The sequence below is a fragment of the Homo sapiens genome, chromosome 11, assembly GCF_000001405.40.
Source record: "Homo sapiens chromosome 11, GRCh38.p14 Primary Assembly".
NCBI lineage: Eukaryota > Metazoa > Chordata > Mammalia > Primates > Hominidae > Homo > Homo sapiens.
The window spans coordinates 74,192,149-74,214,682 of record NC_000011.10 but is presented as its reverse complement, the minus strand read 5'-3'; the positions used below and the strand labels follow the sequence as shown (position 1 = coordinate 74,214,682).

At 37.8% G+C, this 22,534-nt stretch overlaps 1 protein-coding gene, 1 long non-coding RNA gene and 1 pseudogene across 5 annotated transcripts in view; 1 reads left to right on the top strand and 2 right to left on the bottom strand.

Annotated features, from left to right (window-relative positions):
* Positions 1–22,534, bottom strand: part of PPME1 (protein phosphatase methylesterase 1) — an 83,415-nt gene that overhangs the window by 40,021 nt on the left and 20,860 nt on the right. For all 4 annotated transcript variants that reach the window (NM_001271593.2, NM_016147.3, XM_047427116.1 and 1 more), the window contains exons 2-3: positions 10,862–10,955; positions 10,238–10,330 (exon numbers count right to left, since the gene is read on the bottom strand). In NM_001271593.2, coding sequence (NP_001258522.1) covers positions 10,238–10,330; positions 10,862–10,955 — 187 coding nt within the window. The remainder of the gene's footprint in view (positions 1–10,237; positions 10,331–10,861; positions 10,956–22,534) is intronic.
* On the bottom strand, positions 3,876–5,475 carry LOC105369383 (uncharacterized). The gene is made up of 2 exons (XR_950297.3): positions 5,434–5,475; positions 3,876–4,005 (listed from the first exon to the last, which is right to left on the bottom strand). It is a non-coding gene; the product is annotated as an uncharacterized LOC105369383 (long non-coding RNA).
* On the top strand, positions 15,829–15,935 carry RNA5SP343 (RNA, 5S ribosomal pseudogene 343; annotated as a pseudogene).

The window sequence follows — 22,534 nt, the reverse complement described above, 5'->3', positions numbered from 1 at the left end:
AGCATTTTAAATATGTTATGCCACTCTCCCCTGGCCTGTAAGGTTTTCACTGAGAAGTCTGCTTCCAGATGTACTGGAGTTCCATTGTATATTATTTGTTTCTTTTCTCTTTCTGCTTTTAGAATTCTTTATCTTTGACCTCTGGGAGTTTGATTATTAAATGCCTTGAGGTAGTCTTATTTGGGTTAAATCTGCTTGGTGTTCTATAACCTTCTTTTATTTGAATACTGATATGTTTCTCTAGGTTTGGGAAGTTCTGTTATTAACTCTTTCAATAAATTTTCTATGCCAATCTCTCTACCTCCTCTTTAAGACCACTAACTCTTAAATTTGCCCTTTTGAGGCTATTTTCTATTGTAGGTGTGCTGCATTGTTTTTGTATTCTTTTTCTTTTGTCTCCTTTGTGTATATTCAAATAACCTGTCTTCAAGCTAATTCTTACTTCTGCCTCATCAAATATGTTAAGAGACTCTGATGCATTCTTTATTATGTCAATTGCATTTTTCAACTCCAGAATTTCTGTTCTTTTTAATTATTTCAATTGCTTTGTTAAATTTATCTATAGATAAATTTTCTGAATTCCTTCTCTGTTATCTCAAATTTTGTTGAATTTCCTCAAAACAGCTATTTTGAATTCTGTCTGAAAGGTCACATATCTCTGTCTCTCTGGGATTGGTCACTGGTGCCTTATTTAGTTCATGTGGTGAAGTCATGTTTTCCTAGACAGTCTTGAGTTTGTGAATATTGATCAGTGACTGGGCATTGAAGAGTTAGGTATTTATTGTAGTCTTTGTAGTCTGGGCTTGTTTGTACCCATTCTTCCTGCGAAAGCTTTCCAGGTATTCAAAGAAACTTGGGTATTGTCATCTAAGTTTTTGGTCACTGCAGCCATAGCTGCATTAGGGGGCACCCCAAGCACCTAGCTCTTGCAGACTCACAGAGGTACTATTTTGGTGGTGTTGGATAAGATCCAGAAGAATTCTCTGGATTACCAGACAGAGATTCTTACACTCTTCCTTTATTTTCTCCCAAATAAATGGGGTCTCTCTCTGTGCTGAGCTTCCTGGAGCTGGGGGTGGAGTGACACAAGTACCCCTGTGGCCACCAGCACTAGGACTGTGCTGGGTCAGACCTGAAGCCATCACAACACTGGGACTCACCCAAGGCCTACAGTAACCACTGCCTGGCTATCTGTGTTCACTCAAGGCCCTAGGGCTCCATAATCAGCAGGTAGCAAAGCCAGCCAGGCTTCTGTCCTTCCCTTCAGGGCAGTGGGTTGCCCCTGGTCCCAGGTGAGTCCAGAGATGCCATCCAGGAGCCAGGGCTTGGAATTGGAAACCTTAGGAATCTACCTGGTGCTCTACTATACTGCAGCTGAGCTGGCATCCAAGTCACAAGACAAAGTCCTTCCTACTCTTCCCTATCCTTTCCACAAGCATAGTCTCTCCCCATGGCTACAACTACCCCAGGCCCATGGCAAGTACTGCCTGGCTACCACCAGTGTTTATTCATGGCCTAAGGGCTCTTCAGTCAGCTTATGGTGAATGCTGTCAGGCCTGGGACTGCCTCTTCAGGGCAGTGGTCCCCTCTGGCCCAGGGTAGGTCCAGAAATGCTGTCCAAGAGCCAAGGCCTGGAATTGGGAACCCCAAGAGTCCACCTGGTGCTCTACCCCACTGGCACCTAACTGCAACATGAAGTCTTTACTCTTCCCTCTCCTTTTCTCAATCAGAAAGAGTCCTTCCTCATAGCCACCACAGCTGGGAATGTGTTGGGTCACACTTGAAGCCAGCACATCTCTGAGTCTTACCTCAGGACCACGGCAAATACTGTCTGAATACTGTTGCTGATTATTCAGGACCCAAAGGCTCTTTAGTCAGCAGGGGATGAATCCTGCCAGGACTGGGTCCTTCCCTTCAGGGAAGCAGGCTCCCTTCTAGCTCAGTATGTGTCATGCTGTCTGGGAATTAGGGCCTGGAATGGGCCTTGGTACTCTGCCTGGTGCCTTATCCTACTATAGCTGAGCTGGTATCCAAGTTGCAAGATAAAGTCCTCTTTACTCTTTCCTCTCCTCTCTTCAAGCAGAAAGAAGGAGTCTCTCCCAGAGCTGCAAGCTGCTCCACCTGAGGTTGGGGGAGAGGTGGCGTAAGCACTCCCCTGGCTGCCCCTGGTGTCTCACAAGGTTATGTGCTGCTCAAGTCCACTGGCTCCAACACCAGCACAGCACCAGGACTTGCCCAAGAATTGCAGTCCTTGTGGCCTAGTCTGCTTTTCAAGTTTATTTAGGACCCCAGGACCCTTTAGCTTGGGTGGCAAGGCTTTCCAGAACTCAAATTCAGAACACTGGAATGGGTAATTCACCTCTGGCTAAGGCTGGTCTAAATCCTCCCTCTGTGGAAACTTACTGAGTCCTGCCCAGTGTTGCTTTCCACTGTGACAGGGCAGCACTGAGTTCCAATGCAAAGTCACACAATCACTGTGCTCTCCCTCCCACAAGCACACAGATTCTCTCTCCGTTCCACGCAACCACTGCCAGCAGATGGGGAAGGGGTGATGTCAGTAATTCAAGACTGTCGTTTCTATCCTCTTCAGTGTCTCTTTAAGTGATATGAAGATAAATCTAGGTACTGTGATCATTCACCTGATTTTTGGTTCTTATGAAGGTTCTTTTTTGTGTGGACATTTGTTCAATTTGGTGTTCCTGTGGGGAGGACGACAAGTGGAGGCTTCTATTTCACCATCTTGCTCTGCCGCCCCTCTCAAAAGTGTTATTCTTTTATTTCACTTTATATTTTGCTAATTAATAGTAAGGTAGTCCCATTTTTATAAATTTATCCATTATCTATATTTCTTCTTCTGTCAACTAACACTTCTTATCTCTTGCCCATTTTTCTTCTGGATTGTCTTTCTTCTTACCGCTTTGTAGTTTTTTCTTCTTTTTAATATAACGAAAATATTAACCCTTTGCCTATAGTTTGTTTTGCACATATATGAAATATTTTTTATCTAGCACATAGCTTGTGTTTTAACTTTACGGTATTTTGTCTAGAAGTTTTTGTTTTGGTAAACTCAAATTAATCTTTTATTTATGGCTTTCACTTCTTTTGGCTAAGTTTAAGAAGGCCTGCTTTAAGGTCGTATCTGAATTTTCTTACGATTTGTTATTTAAATTCATTTGTGTTGTTTAATCCATTTGCATTGTTATTTTCATTGTGTATTAAATTCCTTTTTATACATGGGCTTATTTCTTTATTCTTTCTACCAATACCATACTATTAACTGATAGACTTTTAGATTATGTTTTGGTATCTGAAAGACCAGATTGCTCTTTTTTTTTGCTCTTTTTCAAAATTATCTTGGTTATTCCTAGGCATTTATTATTCTGTGTGAATTTCAGTTTGTTTAATTAACTCTCATGAAAAAATCCCACTGGGATCTTAGCCAGTTTAGCTAGATTCATACAGGAACATAACTTATTTCCATATTCAGATTTTCCTTTAAATCCTTCTGTGACATTTTATTGTTTTCTTCATAAATGTCTTACATTTAAAAAATAAGGTCTATTCCCACGTATTTTACATTTTGTTGCTTTTATGAATAGGATTTTTCCTATTACATTTCCAGATCTGCAAAGTGCTAATTTTAGAAAAAACAGATTTTTAAACATCAACTTTGTAAACTGCTTAACTAGTAGTTTGTCAGTTGATTTTGTAGAGAGAGAATATCTTCACATAATAATTGTTCTAGCTACTTTTTTCAAATATTTAAAACTTGTTTTTTTGTATTGTTTGACTAGAAACTCCAGTATAACACTGAAAATTGCACCCTTACTGTCTTAGTCCATTTATGCTGCTATAAAGAAATATCGGAGCCTGAGTAATTTATAAGGAAAAGAAGTTTATTTGGGTCACAGTTCTGCAAGCTGTATAAGAAGTACGGCACCAGCATCTGGTCCTGCTGCTGAGTGCATCAGGCTGCTTCCACTCATGGTGGAAGGCTAAGGGTAGCTGGCAGGTGCAAAGGTCATGTGATAAAAGTGGAAGCAGAAAGAGGGGAGGGAGATGTCAGATCTTATTAAATAACTCTTGGAAGTAGGAGAGTAAGAACTCACTCATTACCATGAGAACGGCACCAAGCCATTCATGAAGGATCCACTCCCATGACCTAAACACTTCCCATTAGGCCTCACCTCCAACATTAGGGATCAAATTTCAACTGAGATTTAGAGTGGCCAAATATCCAAAACACAGCACTTGTCTTATCCCTGAGTTTAAAAGGAATGTGTCAATGTGTCTGTTTTACCACTAAGTATGATATTCATGCAATTTTCTAGTTTCTGTATGAATTTTATAATCTTTAGGAAGTTTTTCATCTATTCCTAGTGGCCAAGAGTTTTCAACATGAAGGGACATTATAGTTTATCAAGTCCTTTTTGGGGCATCAAGTGAGGTAAGAGGTGAATCATACTGATAATATTTTCTAATGCTGAGACATTCTTGCATTCCTTGAACAAAACCTACCTGGTCACAGTGTATTATTATTTTACCACACTATCAATCTGCTGTTATTTTCCTTAGGATTAGGTGAATGAGCAAGTGAATATTTACGTATGTATGTATAAATGAGATGGGGTCTTGCTCTGTCACCCAGGCTGGAGTGCAGTAGCACGATCTTGGCTCACTACAACCTCGAACTCCTGGGCTCAAGCACTCCTCCCACCTTAGCTCCCCAAGTAACTGAGACTATAGGTTATGTGCCACTATGCCCCACTTCTGTATCTATTTTATAAGAGACACTGGCTTAGTTTTCCTATATTATCATTGCCTGGTTTTGGTATCAGACTAATAATACCTTCATAAATCAAATAGCTTCAAACAGTATTATCCTAAGTAGTTTTTTACATGGTAGAAAATGTAAATGAACTTCTTCCTTTTTGAGAGAAATTAATACTCCATAAGATGTCAAATATTTAGAATTGAGTAATATAAGAATAGCCTTCTAACTAGTCTCCCTGCCTCCACTGTGGTTTCCTGCCCAATCAATCATCTATACTAGTATTTTGATTTTTCTAAAGCTCTTCAATAGCTTCCTATTGCCTGAAACAGTGGTACTCAATTACAATCAGGTAAATGTGTATCAAGATACTTAACTCACCAGAACTTTACAGTGTGAATGTGTGTCAAGCAAAACATGCTTTCCATACTCCCTAATTTTGACATGCCTAAAATATGCTTAATGTGGATGTGCGTGGGGTAAATGTTGTGTTTAAAAATAGCTCCCATGGCCAGACACAGTAGCTCATGCCTGTAAACCCAGCACTTTGAGAGGCTGAGGCAGGAGGATTGCTTGAGGCCAGGTGTTCAAGACCAACCTGGGCAATATAGCGGGATTCCCTCTCTATAAAAAATAAAAATAGCTAGTGTGGCAGCGCGCACCTGTGGTCCCAGCTACTCAGGAGGCTGAAGTGGGAAGATCACTTGAGCCCAGGAGGTCAAGGTTGCAGTGAGCCAGGATTGCATCACTGTACTCCAGCCTGGGTGACAGAGTGAGACCCTGTATCAAAAACAAAAGCAAACAAACAAAAATAGCCCCCTCTACTGTTACCCAGAAGTAAAAGGAAACTAAAGGTACAATTACCTAGCTAGGTATACAAGCCCCTTCTATAATTTTGCTCCAGTGATCTCTCTAGTCACTTCTTTCCCTGCTCTCCACCCTCATCATATATTATACAACTACAACCTCAACTCTATTCAAACTATAGCCAAGCTACTTATAATTTCCAAAACATATTTCACTGTTACACTCTTCAATGCCTTTGTGCTTACCTTTTCTTGGCATGCCTTCCCTACTAATCCAACTTCTATTTGGTCTTAAAAACCATTTCAGATGTCCTCTCTTATGAAACTTTCCTTGTAGTCCCCTCATCTACCACAAGTTAATCATTCCTTCCTCTGCATTACCTTTGTATCTTGCTGCAAACTCATTTAACAACTGAGTGCTTATGAGTCAAGTACTTTACCAAGAACCTTACATCTTTTGTTGAATTTTCACAACCACTCTATTAACTAGGAGGTATTATACCCATCTATCTAAAATTCAGATAAATTAAGCTGCTTTGACATTCAAAACCTAGTCTGAGATAAAAATTTCTTAAAATGTTTGCTGTATTTTTTGTATACATGTGCCATTTCCATTTTTCTTACCTTCCCTATTAGATTTAAACATCGTAAGAACAGGAAGATGGAACATATGTTTAATTCTCCACTGTATCCACAGCACCTGTACGATGCCTGGTACACAGCAGGGGTTTAGTAAGTATTTGCTGATTGGCTGATCTTATTAAAGAGTAAAGTCTCTTTTTTTTTTTTTTTCTTGAGACAGAGTCTCACTCTGTCGCCAGCATGGAGTGCAGTGGCACGATCTCGACTCACTGCAACCTCTGCCCCCCGTGTTCAAGCGTTTCTCCTGCCTCAGCTTCCCTAGTAGCTGGGACTACTGGTGTGTGCCACCATGCCCAGCTAATTTTTGTATTTTTAGTAAAGACGGGGTTTCACCATGTTGGCCAGGATTGTCTCGATCTCCTGACCTTGTGATCTGCCCGCTTCGGCCTCCCAAAGTGCTGGGATTACAGGCATGAGCCACCATGCCGGACCCTGAAGTTTAATTTTTTGAATCTTAGTGACTCAGCACAAAGCTTGGGATATAGAATATACTCAGTAAATATTTGCTGAAATCAACTGAATTAACTAGAAGAAGAAATGGGAATCAGCAGACACTCAGGTTCAATTCTTGGCTTCAATCAACACACACTTATCTGGTCCCAGATTCTTCAGAGGTACCAAAGCTGAAAACCATTGGAGGCTGGCAAAATCTAGCCTGCTGCAGCTGCATGTGCTAATGAGATCCCACTGTTCCTCTCATCTCTCTTCTGGCTCAGCCAAACTTCAGTTTCTGCTTCATTCTGGATTCTCCCACAGCAGCTAGGTGGTCTGTTATACCTAGTACTTGCTGATGGGAGAAGGCTACAGAAGCCATACATTATTACCCATTATATATGATAAACTTGACTACTGTAGCAGCAACTACAATCACTAACTTATTGAATATAAACAAGGAATAAAAGGTTCAAAAATTAATTTTCTAGATATTTAAAGACTATCCTTTAAAACAACATAATTTTCTTCTAATAGTTATATCCCTTTGATAGTTCCACAAAAGTGGTTACAGATAAAAGTTTCCCAAGTGCTTTATGGTTGTTTGTTTGTTTGTTTTTGTTACTAAAGCCAAGGTATAAATGGTTTCTCTTCATACATAATAGAACTTCTGGTGAATCTGGATTTGGGGGATTTTCCCTCCCAAACCACAAAACATTTAGATGGAAAAGGAGTTCTACTCAGGATCAAGGATTTTATAGAATTATGGACAAGAAGGAACTTGGAAGAATACATTCACAATTAAATCCTTTCAGTGAAATGATGCTTGCTTTTCCTCTGCAGAGGACCTGGGTTGCTTTGTAATAGTCCTAATCTTTAGAATTTCTGCCTATGTGTGTCAAAATAGGTCTCTAGTTTCTGCCCTGAATCTTTCCTCTTAGGTGGCATAAAAGCAGTCTTCAAAGAAATATGCACACTGGAGTCAGAACAAGTATGAGTTTTCATGCTGTCATTGGCTCTCTAACTTCTCTAAATTTCAGTCCTTATCTGGCTAATCTCATAGTATTACAGAAAAATTAAATGGGATAATCCACTTAAGCACTTAGCATAGTACCTGGCACAGAGTAAATGTTTAAAAGATGTGGCTGGTTTTTTTCTTATTGAAGGGCAGGCTTGGTGGCTCACGCCTGTATTCTCAGCACTTTGCAAGGCTGAGGGAGGAAGACTGCTTGAGGCCAGGAGTTTGACACCACCCTGGGGAACACAGTGAGACCCTGTCTCTACAAAAAAATTAAAAATTAGCTGGGAGTGGTGGTGCACACCTGTAGTCCTAGCTACTTGGGAGGCTGAGGTGGGAGGATCACTTGAGCCCAGGAGTTGAGGTTGTAGTGAGCTATGATTGTGCCACTGTACACTAATCTGGGTGATAGACTGAGATCCTGTCTTAAAAATACATAAATAAAATACAACTGAAAACAAATATTATGTCTCCCAAGTCTTTCTTTTCTTCAGGCAAACCCCTTTCAGTTCCTTTAATTGTTCCTTAAATGCTATTGTTTAAAGTATTCTAATCTTGATTGCTCTTCTCTAGACAAGTTTCAGTTTGCCAAACTTGTCAGATCCAGAAGTGAATATGACCTTTTTCCTTGAAAATAGTTTCCAGTAAAAGAAAAAAACAGTCTTTAAATTATGAAAGTAATAAACATTTAACTGAAAACCTAGAAAATAGAAAGATGGAAGAAAATTACTCATAAGCCTAGGAGTTCATGTCCAGCCTGGGCAACATAGCAAGATTCCATCTCTTAAAAAATAAATACATACATAAAATTCTTCAAGCATACAATATGTGCTAGGCATAATAAGCCATGGAATTTGCCTCCAAAAAATTTTGCAATCTATTTGCGAAGTAAATGACTAAAGCTACGATTTGAAATGTGGCTAGCCCAAACGGAGATGTGCTGTAAGTATAAAATTTTTAAATTTACAGTATAAAAATAGATGTAAATATCTCAATAATAATTTTTATATTGATTAGGTAATCAATATAATTACTTCAACATGTTGAAGTGATATTGTGGATACAATAGTTAAATACATATACATTAAAATTAATTTATTGTTTCTTTTTATCTATTTAAAGTGTCTACTAAGAAATTTAAAATGACATACGTGGTTTGCACTCTATTTCTATTGGACAGTACTGGTCCAGAGACATGACAGAGCCTGGTACTTATGGACAAGTCACACAATTTATCCTAGAGTAAGAGAAAAAAGTAGCAAACAAGACAAGGGCCAAATCATTTAATAGTGGTTGAATATGTGCCTATGTTTAAAGAACTATTTCAAGCCATTTGGGAAACAAAAAAGTGTAACACATTATCCTTATTTTCAAGGAATTCATGATCTAAAAGAAGAGACAAGATGAGATTTAAACTTAACCCCAATAATCCCCGCTGCCAGGAACAAAGTGCTATGTTCAGGGACTTCCTCAACTCCACAGCCATCTGGCTCCAGGTACCTAGTGCTGCATTCCCACTTGCTCTCATTTTCTGTCCTTCAGGCTCTCTAGTGGTAAATAGAGGATGCATATCTGCTTGACACACACATGAGATGACAACTTCATTTTAAACACAGATGTTGCTAGTATCTTCCTTAGCAGTATCTCTCCTTGCACATGGGCTGTCCCACCCCAGAGTCAAAGGTATTAGGAAGATCTATAATTGACAGCATTCACACAGACACATATCTTCTACTCTAGACCACAGTATCATTAGCCAAATATTATTTACTTCCTTGTAGCTAACAAGCACCATTAAAATATAAAGAATCATTTCAAAAAGGAAGAAACATTTTCCAAGTTCTTATGAGATATCTCCATGTGCAAAGTATTACATAGGCTCTATATGGGAGACAAAGTGATAGACATTATCTAAAGCACCTAAATAAAATGTCTGGTTCTCTACACAAAATGAAGAGTTAGGCTAGTCAAAGAAGTAAACAATAATTGCACTATGGAAGTTTACACAAATTGGGTTATTCTTGTCATATCCCATTAAAACAGAGTTGAGAGGCCAGAGAGAAAAAGCACTCAGGGCACATAACATTGCTGCAAGAATGTAAGTAATTCTCTGCAAGCCTGGCTGCTGAAACTCCCTGCTAAAATATGAAACCAGTTTTATCTAATAGCTACTGAAACAAGCTGCTGTGACTCTAAGACTAGTTTTACTCACCGCAGTTACTTATCAATCAGAACTTGCCAGCTTCCAAACCCTTTTTTAACATTTTTAAATTTTTCTTTCACATTTTCCATCACTCCCTATTATCTTTTCTTTTTCTCCCCAAACCTTTACTAGTGCCAATTAACTTTCTCAAAGAACAATACATAACATTTCTCCTTTTTATAAAACCTCCAACCTTCTCTTTGTTCTTCAGACATACTGAAGAACATACCACCCAGTCTGTGTGTATGCCTGGAATAGCAATTCCTGCTTCCCAAATAGAATGTGTTAACTTCCAAGATTTGTCCCTATACTTTCATTAGTTCAAAAGTGCTAACATTAACTTGTACTATCAACAACCTACTTACCGTGAACACAGCCCAAGAAAGGGCAGAATGACCTCCTCCATGCAGAAGGAGCAGGACTGGACCCTCTGAACCACTCTTGTAGACTCGAAAAGTGTATGAATAGTTAAAGATAAAACATCTATGTTTTTGCTCACTAAAGTTTTTCATTATTTAATCATAGTAATACCGCTAGAAACTTACATGCAAAACTGCAGACTGCCAAATGTAAGAGATGTAAGCAGACTTTTCTGAGACACTAACCCTCTGTTTGAAGCATGAAGCCTGTGTGACCATTTTGTTCAATGAAAAAAAAAAAAAAATTCCCTTTGCCCTCATGAGGACATAACCCCTGGATTCTAGAAATGAAACTAGTTCAACTCACTTGACTCATGAAACCTTCCCCTGGGCCCCTAAGACAGTATATCAGTTTCAAGAATTTAATTCTTAATCCCTTCTCCATGCATTAGAGAATTACAGCCAAGAAAGATATTGGCATGGACTTCCAGGCAATATTCCATAAAGAACAAGTGAGGAATAAGGTGAAATAAGTAGCAGGAATAAAGAACATTTTAGAAACTACACAAGTCTTTTAACTTAGACAACATCATAAGCTCACTAAAGAATAAGCCATTTTGCAAAGGATATATCCTTGCCAGTTTCATTCTCTACTTCTACATCTTCCATGGACTCAAAATACTGACTCCAAGGAACAGGGGAAAAGTCCCGCTTTCTTCCAGGGCTGAGGAAAAAAAAGAGAGAGACATTTCAGAAAAATTATGCATAAAGAGATAAAATCTTGGTCAATAAATGCTAAATGTAAGTCAGTAATGAAAACAGCAAAGGTATTTTCTCTTAAAGATATAAAGAGTTCATCACAAAGTATCATATTAAAAATGTATTTAATGTATTGTATTACATAATAATGTAAATGCATTTAAATAAGTATTTTAAAATGTATTTAAATCCAAACATAGATTTAAGAGTAAAAATTTTAGGATTTTTCAAAATTCATTAGTATATTTTAATCACAAATAAATTCTGTGTTCATATACACACAAAACCTGCTAGTTTTTCACCTTGCTCTTGGCTGTAGGCTCATTTCCATCCTCCCAACTGACTTTAATATCATTCCTACCTCAGTCAACAGTCAATAGTCTTGGTCACTATCACTCCTTTACACATTTAATTCTCCATACTCTTTCATGCTTCCTTGTCATTCCCAAACAATCAATATACAACCTCCATGGAAGGCAAACTGGCAATATCAATACCTTCAACTTACAGGAATTTATCTGAAGAATTGCTCACACAGAAGTGAAATGACTTAAGTATTCAATGAAACATCGTTTGTAATAGAGAAAAGTTGGAAAAAATCTAATATCCATCAATAGGGGACCGATGAAAATAAATTGTAGTATATAGAAAAATACTAGTTAACTGTAAAAATGAACAAATATATTAATAAAAATCTTTATATATGAATATATAATTCCAAGATTCATATATATAACTCCAAGATGAACACGATATGCGTGCTATCACTTGGGTAAAATTGTGAAATACATGTAAGTGTTTATGTATGTTTTCAACATCTCTGGAAGGATACTGATACAACATTTATGGTATCTTGGAAAGGAAAGTATGATTGGGAAATGAGAGGAAAAATTTTCAATCTCTGTTCCTTACTATCTTTTGATTTTTGATCATGTATTATTAAAAAATATAAAATTATTCTAAAACAAAATAAATCAGTAAGTGTCTATTCACAATTTACGTCTTCAACCTTGGATGGAATACAAGAAAGAAATTCCAAGCTGTCCCAATTTCCAACCTATTCTTCTTCCTAGTAATGGAGGAAATTCAGAATTCTATCAGCAGCAAAACATTACCTCTTGCCAGACATCTTCCTGTATATGCTATGGAGAATATCTACAAAGTATGATACAAAGCTCTTTCTAAAAACTTAATATAAAAGCACTCCTAGTTGACTATAATACTGGAAAAATTACAACACAGCGGCTGGGTAGGAAGGGATATATTCTTTCAAAAGTGAAACATTTATTGAATGTCTACTCTGTTCTAGGCATTGAACCAGGTCAGTATTTCTGAATCTAACAATGAAATCACCTGGAGAACTTTATACTCATGCTTGGGTCTCACCTCTAGAAACATATTTAAGTGGTCTGTGTTATGGCCTGAGCCCTGAGGATTTTTAAAGTTCCCCATGTTGAGAGAGGCACTATAAATATAAAGATAGAGTACATGATTTGGAATGACAGAGGAGTTCAAATTCCTTATAAGTCCTACCATTTCTCTACAAGTTCCTGACACATTATGAACTTGGTCAAATTATTCTGCCTTGGATTGCAGAGACTGAATAAAATTACCTTTAAAGAATCTAATACATCTAGCATTTGATAATTGCTCAGTAGATGGATAATCCTATCTTCTGAAATAAAAATGACATTGTGAAGTAAACAGCAACTTCAGCCTCGACCTGCTTTTTTTGCTTTTCTGGTTGCACTTGAAATCCTATGGGAAAACTAAAAGCAGAACTTAGAATTCTACTTACTCACAAGTTACTCACAAATCTACCTATCCTACACTAATTTGATTATAACGATAACATGGCATGCCAAACATGTTATAATGGATTCTAACGATCCATGGATGAATTTTGATATCTGGACCTAGGATATCATCATAGTAATAGTACATAATATTCACTATGCACAAACGAGTCACTGTGCCAAATACTTCACAGACGTGATTCCATTTAACCCTCACAAAACTTTTTATGCCCATTTAACAGATGAAAAAACAGATTTAGACATAAAAGTAACTTGCCAAGGCCACACAACTACTAAATGGTAGTGACAAAATTCAAATCCAGTTCTGCCACTCTCCAAAGCCTCTGCTCTTTACCCCAATGCTGTATCACTCCTTTCATCCTTTTATCTTCTCATGCTGTCATTTATGCTTCTGAAAAGTAATAAGGCTTAAGTGCACATTATTAGAGGTTTTCTTTTTGTAGTCTAAATATAGCTGATTCTGCCAATGCCAAAGAACCTTTACAAGTTAGCCAGGTACCAGTTAAAACTTACTTCCTATAAGTAGAAATTATTCACAGGAGAACACCCTCCACTTCTAATTTCCTTCATTTAAAAAAAACAAAAAACAAAAAAGGCCTGTAGCCGGGCGCGGTGGCTCACGCCTGTAATCCCAGCACTTTGGGAGGCCGAGGCGGGCAGATCACGAGGTCAGGAGATCGAGACCATCCTGGCTAACACGGTGAAACCCCGTCTCTACTAAAAATACAAAAAATTAGCCGGGTGTGGTGGCGGGCGCCTGTAATCCCAGCTACTCAGGAGGCTGAGGCAGGAGAATGGCATGAACCCGGGAGGCGGAGCTTGCAGTGAGCCGAGATAGCGCCACTGTACTCCAGCTTGGGTTACAGAGCGAGACTCCATCTCAAAAAAAAAGAAAAAAGAAAAAAAAGGCCTGTAGTTCCTGCCACTCGGGAGAGACTGAGGTGGGAAGATAAATTGAGCCCAGGAGTTCTAATCCAGCCTGGGCAACAAGTGAGGTCTCATCTCTCAAAAAACAATAATAAAAATAAAAATAAACAAAAAAACAGGTTCCAGGGACTACCCAACTTATTTCCACCAAATGAGTAATTCCCATTTATTTAAGGAATCAATAATTCTCCATCTCCAAAGGTTGCTCCTACTCCCACAGAGATTTTCTAGCACACCCCTAACACCTTCTTTTAAACACATAATTGGGCCAGGCACGGTGGCTCATGCCTATAATCCCAGCACTTTGGGAGACCGAGGTGGGCAGATCAGCTGAGGTCAGGAGTTCGAGACCAGCCTGCTCAACACTGCAAAACCCTGTCTCTACTAAAAATACAAAAATTAGCCAGGCATGGTGGCACGCACCTGTAGTCCCAGCTACTCGGGAAGGCTGAAGCAGGAGAATCGCTTGAACCCAGAAGGCGGAGGTTGCAGTGAGTCAAAATCGTGCCACTGCCCTCCAGCCTGGGTGACAGAGCGAGACTTCGTCCACACACACACACACACACACACACACACACACACACACACACAAAACACATGACTGTTTATAAACTAGAAGACTTCAATTAATTTTGTAACTAGTATTATTAGACATTACATAAGTGGCAAGAATCTTACATTATTTTTGTATTTTAGTCAGAACAGAATATTGTGAATTTTAGGGATATAGTTTAGATTGATTTTAAAAAATAGCTTTAGTTTCTTATTTTATGCCTAGATACTTTATAGTCATTATAGTTTGTGTAGGCCTTTTTTAATTATAATTTTTAGATTAATTACTAACTTCCCCCCCTCAAGGGGTCGTAATGAAAGAATTTTAAAGTAGTGAAAGAACTTTCAAAAGCATAACAAGTTTAAGTTACTGATATGGTTTGGCTATGTCCTTACCCAAATCTCATCTTGAATTGTAGCTCCCATAATTCCATGTGTTGTGGGGGGACCTGGTTGGAGATAATTGAATCATGGGGGCAGTTTCCCCTATACTGTTCTCATGGTAGTGAATGAGTCTCAGGAGATCTGATGGCTTTATAAGGGGAAACCCCTTTCACTTGGGTCTCAATTCTCTCTTGTCTGCCACCATGTAAGACATGCCTATTTCCTTCCACCATGATTGTGATGCCTCCCCAGCCATGTGGAACTGTGAATCCATTAAACCTCTTTTTCTTTATAAATTACCCAGTCTTGGATATGTCTTTATCAGTAGCGTAAAACAGACTAATATAGTTACATTTTAAAAGGAAGAATTTATTGTTGGTTGTGGTGGTGTACCCCTGTAGTCCCAGCTACTTGGGAGACTGAGACAGGATGATCACTTGAGCCCTGGAGTTCAAGGCTGTAGTGCACTATTATCACACTCGTGAATAGCCACTGTACTCTAACCTGGACAAAACCGTGAGACCCTGTCTCTCCCAAAAAAAAGGATTAATTCATTCAAAAAATATTTACTAAGAACCTATTACGTGTATAAGGCTGGAACTGACATAGGATAATGGGGGATGCTGGGACAATTATAAAACTAGAGAGACAATGCATCTGCTGTCAAGAAGTTAGTATTAAGTACATAAATATCTAACAAAATGTACAAAGAGTTAAATACCCTAAGAAGTACAGCTGAAGTGCAGTGAATGTTCAAAGGAGGAAAGAAAGATTACTTCCAGCTTGGAGAAGAAAGACAGGCTTAAAAAAACACACACAGACACACTTAAGCTAGGCATTGAAGGACAGAAAGAATTTGCGCTGATAGAAATAGGGATGGAGAGAGGGATAAGACATTTCAGGCAGATAAGGACCCAGCCTGCTGCCTGTCATAGGGAACACTGAAAACAAACAACAACAAAATAGCTAACTGGAATGAGGTGGGAATAGTACAGTATTTTTGAAAAGCTAAAAGAAGCTGACACAATTAGATAGTGGAGAAAGAATGTTAGCTTAATAAAATGGGGAATATATGTTCTTTTTCCGGTTATTTGTATGTGTGTGATTTTTTGGAGTGGCCCAACAGTCATGGATGATATCCTAGAAAATGAAGAGCCAGTCTATGGCCGTAACACCCTGAATGCACCCGATCTCATCTGATCTCGGAAGCTAAGCAGGGTCAGGCCTGGTTAGTACTTGGATGGGAGAAAATGAAGAGCCAGGCTGGACGTGGTGGCTGATGCCTGCAATCCCAGCACTTTGGAGGTCAAGGGGGGAGGATTGCTTGAGCTCAGGAGAACGAGGCCAGCCTGGGCAACACAACAAGACCTCGTCTCTACTAAAAACAAAAAAAAATTAGGTAGTGCACCTGTGGCTCTAGCTACTCAGGAGGCTGAGGCAGGAGGATCATTTGAGACCAGGAGATCAAGGATGCAGTGAGTTGTGAACACACCACTGCATTCCAGCCTGGGGGACAAGGCGAAACCCTGTCTCCAAAAATCAAACAAACAAGAAAAGAAAATGAAGAGTCGATAAAATGTAAAGATAAAAGTATTTCAGAAAGATCAATCTGGTTACAGGCACAAGATGGACTTGATTCTGGGAAAAAATATGTTGCAATAACCTGGCTAGAAAAGGATGGGATCAGTTAATAGGGTTGACAAAGAAAAAAGAGAAAAAAATGGGAGACTTAACTGGCAATGGAATTAAAAGCAAGAAAACATAGAATGACCTTTCAAAGGCAATGAACAAATCTTGGGAATGTTCAAGATATGAAAGATGATTGACAGCAGAATCAAAGTCAATTTTAAAGTTTTGAACAGAGAAATTAATAATTAAGTCCTACAGTTTATAAATAAAAATCTACTCTGGTAGGTAACTGTATAATTTTTTTACGTTAGAATACAATTTATTTCAAACCTAACAAAATAAATAAATAATTTCCTCCCCCCTCCTATTGCCAAAGGAAGAAGTTTGACAGAGAGGAGACAAAGTGGTGCTGTGAAAGACACAAAGAAAATATGGTATCTGCCTGAGTCACATGAATCAAATGTGTTTATGGATCTTTTGCTATTATCACAGACCATGTTCAGAATTTGATGAAAGCTATGAACCCTCAATCCAGAGGGTTCATGCATGCACATGTATTTTGCTATAATTCCACTGGTTTCAAGAAACCTATCTACGAATCCCAAATTAAGAACCCTTAGCCTATAATTTGACCTTAACAACCTATTTCCAGCAGAAAGAGAAAAGGAATTAGGAGATACTGCATTCTTATCAGTTCCTGAACCTGAATTCATTTTCCATTTGCTACCAACTAAAGGTTTATTTTCACAACCCAGTTCTGCCTTTATTAAACTATGGGACTTTGGGCAGTCACTTCAGTTCTGTAAGCCTGAGTTTCTTCATGTTAGGGGATTATAGTACCAATTTTATAGGCGTTATTATGAGGATCAAAGATGCCCTTTCATCTCTTGGTTACTCTCAAATTAGTCAGTTCTATTTATCATAAAACTAATCATTTTCTAAAATTATCTTATTCCCATATTTGTTATTATCCTCCAGTCACCCCAATTAATTCACCACTAATGTGAGATCCATTAGAGCAAGAAGGTTCTCCATTAGTTCACTGATGTATTCCCAGCCCAGAGCCTGATACACATCAATGACTAATATCTGTTGACAGTCTGAAGTGAATTAATGTGCATAAAGCACTTAGCTGGGTTTCTCAATAAATATTTATTACTATTATTAAATAGCTTTGAGGCTAATAATCCTTACTTAATCCTTATAAACTTTCTAGTAAAAGCGAATGGGATACTACACCAATCAAGACTGTGGTACAGGTATAAGAACAGACATAGAGATCACCTAAATACAATCAAAAGTCCAGAAATAAACTAGTATTTATAGTCAATTTGTCAGAGGCATTTGAACCAGGCCACTCCATTTTGACTGAGGGCTAGGAAAATGAGGCTGGGACTTGCCGGGCTGCATTCTCAGAAAGTTAGGCATTCCTAGCCTCTAGGTGTTTATGGTTAAGGGAACAAATTAATAATGTTTACTAAACAGACCCACACTTGGGAGCTTCCAGCTATCCTGATATCTGGAGAACAAAGGCATTCCTAATTTTGCTTTAAAGTTTATAATATCCATTCTTGCAAAAATAGTTAATTAAGAAATTAATCCTTTATCACAAACCCTTGTAGCAGAACACATCTCCCCATATATACAAGCATTATACTTAGAGTGGATATGTTCCTCCTCTTACTTTCGGGAACGTCCTACTCTGTCTATGGAGTAGCTGTTCTTTCACTTTACTTTCTTAGTAAACTTGCTTTTACTTTGCACTGTGGACTCGCCCTGAATTCTTTCTTGAGTGAGATCCAAGAACCCTCTCTTCAGGTCTGGATTGGGACCCCTTTCCTGTAACAAACTGATTTTCAACAAAGGGGCCAAGATAAATTCAATGGGGGATATGATATTGGGACAACTGGATATCCACATGCAAAAGTACAAATCCAGACCCCTTCCTCACACCATATACATAATTAACTCAAAGTGTATCATAAACCTAAATACAAGAGCTAAAACTATAAAACTCTGAGAAGTAAAAAACGAGTAAAACTCTGTGATCTTAGGTTAGGCAACAATTTCTTAGATACAACACCCAAAGCAGAAGTGATAAAAAAGACACAGGACTTGAACTTCATTAAAATAAAATCCTTTTCATTAAACTATATGCCATTTTCATACTATGGCTACATACAGAGAGAAATAAGCATAGTTTCATGGATAAGAACATGGGCTCTGAAGTCAGATTCTTTTAGTCTAAATTTCATTTCCAATAATTACAAGCTATGTGACTGTTGGCAAATTAATCTGTCTCAATTTCTTCAACTGTAAGCTTTGCAAAGTGATTATTAGTAAGTACTTCCTGTTAGTCATTATAGAAACACTGTTTATAGTTGAGCCACATGGTATACCAATTGTACTTCTTGTACAACTTTTTGCTTTTTTCCAGAATAATTGTCTTTTTAATTTTGTTTGCTTAGTTTTCTATTAAAGTGTCACTAACTGTTTCCCAAAACTTTTTGATAGGCAAAAGACATTAATATGCTTTTCCCTAAGGAGGAAACACAAACAGCCCATAAAGATATGAAAAGGTTTCCAATTTAAGATACATAAAATTTAAATTACAGTGAAGTATCATATTTCACATCCATCATGTTGACAAAATATAGGAAGCCAGACATTAACAGGTATTAACAAGGAAACAGGGAAGATTATTTGGAAAACTGTAAGGCATCACCTAATAAAATTAGACAGGTGTCCTTCAACCTGGTAATTTTACTTTACAGAGAACCTCCTGCACATAGGCATCAAAACACACATATAAGAATGTTTGTAGACACATGTCTATAAAAGCAAAGAATAAGAAGCAAGCTAAATATGCATCACCAATAGAATATACAAACTGTGATGTATCTGGGTAATAGAATATAGCATAGCAGTGAAAATAAATTTAAAAGTACATGAATCTGAAAAATACTTAGAGAAAGAAATAAGCACAGAAGACTGAATCCTGTATAATTCCATTAATAATAGTGTTCAAAAACAGGCAAAGCTAAATAATGTATTTTTAATGTATACATGCACAAGTGGTAAAACAATAAAGAAAAGCCAGGCACTGATTATCATGCAATTCAATACCAGTGTGGGAAACAGAGATGCTCTCGAGGAGAGACAAACAGGTTTCTAAGGTGCTGATAATGTTTTATTTCTTAAGCTAGGTGACGGACACATGAGAATTTATTATTCTTTGAACTGTACATATATACTTTACTTTTCTGTATGAGTATTTCACAATTTTAAACAAATAAAGCCTTTGAATTCTGTAAAACTTCTCTTAATATTTGGTCATTCACATTAAATAATCTACCAGGTCTATTTTTCACTCAAATTTCCATTTCTGGCATCCTCCATTCATCTGCTCCAAATAGGACTGCCTGCTGTCTGATATAATGAACTGCTAACAATTTAGTATCATCTCAGGAATTCTTCTTGCCTTTCACCTGTGTTGAATCCCTTATCCCATATCCCATATTTTTCTTGTTGTAGTCTCTTATTTTGATGAAACACATCCTCCATCAGCTTCATGAGAAAGGGACATTAATTTTGAAACTTTGCATGTTGAAAATAGCGTTCCCCATTTTCACACAATGACTGACAGTCTGCCTGAGTATAGACATCTTATATTAGGGACTGCTTCTGTCTATGGTAATTAATAGATCCAACTTGAGAAATATTGGCTAAAATTATATGTAAGTATTTGTGTGAAAAATATTATATAAATAGATGTTATATTTATACAATCATAGTGTATAATTATTAAATAATTATATATAATGATCTTATATATTGTAATTATATAGTCATTCGTTCTTCTTAAACGCATAGATGAGCTGGCAAGAAAGTAAGGAACAGGGAAGACCCAGGTCAAAAGTTAAGTAAGGTGGGAATCCAGAGAGGCACTTAGACCATTAAATCTGGCTTTTACCTTGATGGCATTTGCCAACTGTCTGAACTTGAAGTTTTGCGATGCACACAGAACAGGACACAAAGCCCGAGGTGGGAAGTCTTGCTGCGGAGCCCAGTAGGAAACCTTTCTCCATCAAGCTGGGATCCCAAAGAATCATAAGCTCAGTGAAAGGCTGAAACAGAATTAACTTTCTGCTTCTTACCACAATCTCAGGATTAAATTAAAAAATAAAAAATAAAATAAAAAAAGGCCTGTCTTAAAACTTAGCATTGAGAAGGGAGAAGCAAGAAAAAACAAAGACAGCTCTCAAACTGATATGGAGCTAAATACATATCATTTACATATCCCAAGAAGTTTCAAGATGAGAATGTAAAGTGGATCCAACTGGTAGTGCCCTCAGGACCCCCAAGAGAAACAAAGGCAAATCCTCTTTGAAGAATCAATCTTCATTCTAGGACTAAGAACTTTAAGAAAGTTCCAAGGCAAATGACCATCTCACAATCAAAAAGCATAAAATACGTGAGGAAACAGACCTGTAAAGAGTTCACATAAAGAAATTATCAAATACAATATAAAATAACTGCTTAACACATTTAAATGAACAGAAACTTGAAACAAGCTCCTAGAATGAAAAGAATTAAAATTAAAAAACAAATAGTCAAGTTTAACATATTAGACACAGCTAAGGAGAAGCGTAAACTAGTAGTGAATTTGTTCAGATACATCTAGATACATTTAGAATCCAAAATACAAATAGAAGATGGAAAATACAAAAGTTAAGAAATATGAAGGGAAGAGTAAATAAGTCTTAAATATGTCAAACTGAAGTTCTGAAAGGAAATAAAGACAGTGAAATAAAAGCAGTATTTGAAGAGGCCGTACAGGTTGAGTATCCCTCATCCAAAATGCTTGGGACCAGAAGGGTTTCAAATTTCAGTTTATTGTTTCCTTTTTAATTTTGGATTATCTGCATATACACAATGAGATATCCTGGAGATGGGACCTAAGTCTAAACACACAATTCATTTATGTTTAATAAAGACCTTATACACATGGCCTGGAGGTAATTTTAAACAATGTTTTTAATAATTTTGTGCACAAAACAAAGTTTGTGTAAACTGAACCATCAGAAAGCAACGGTGTCACTATCTTAGCCACCCATGTGGAAAATCTATGGTTGTTTGGCATCACCATCATTCCTGATTGAACTTACACGTTACTAATAATCATTTTTATTACACTTATTCACACATAAGTACTTAACAGTAAAAGATACAACATACCATTAATACAGTGAAAAAACATAATGTACTCAGGGTAACCAACCAGCACAGTAACATCACAGAACACCTCTACCAGTTATTAAATAAAAGCAACAACCAACAATGGCAGGCTTTCAGTCTCCCACCTACAATGTTGTGTTTGATTAAAAAGTTACTGAACACGGTATTTTATTTTTTTAGGTGAGAAGAAACATCAGAAGCAGCTGAGGGATGTGTTAAGTCTGTTCTTGCTGTAACATAATACCTGAGACTGGGTAATTTATAAAAAGGTTTAACTGGCTAATGGTTCTGCATGGTACCAGCATCTGTTCCTGGTAAGGGCCACAGGAAGCTTATAATCATGGTGGAAGGTGAAGTGGGAGCATCTGTGTCACAAGGTGAGAGCAGAAGCAAGAGAAGGGGGAGGTGCCACACTCTTTTTAAACAACCAGATCTGGAGAGAACTCAGGGCAAGAACTCACTCATTACCAAGGTGATGGCAATAAACCATTCATGAGGGATCTGCATCCATGATCCAACACCTCCCACTAGGCCCCACCTCCAGCATTGGGGATTACATTTCAACACGAGATTTGGAGGGTGCAAACATCCAAACCATATCATTCTGCCCCTGGCCCCTCAATTTCATCTCCTTCTCACATTGCAAAATACCATCACCCCTTCTCAATAGTTCCCCCAAAGTCTTAACTTGTTTCAGCATCAAGTCCAAAGTCCTAAGTCTCATCTAAGACTCATCTCCTTCCACCTATAAGGTGGAAGCAGCCTGAGATGTACTTATGAGCCTGTAAAACCAAAACAAATTATTTACTTCCAAGATACAATGGTGGTACATGCATTGGGTAAACATTCCCATTCCAAAATGGAGAAACTGGCTAAAAGAAAGGTGCTACAAGCCCTATGAAAGTCTGAAACCCAGCAGGGTAGTCATTAAATCTTAAAGCTCCAAAAATAATCTCTTTTGACTCCATGTCCCACATCCAGGGCACACTGGTGTGAG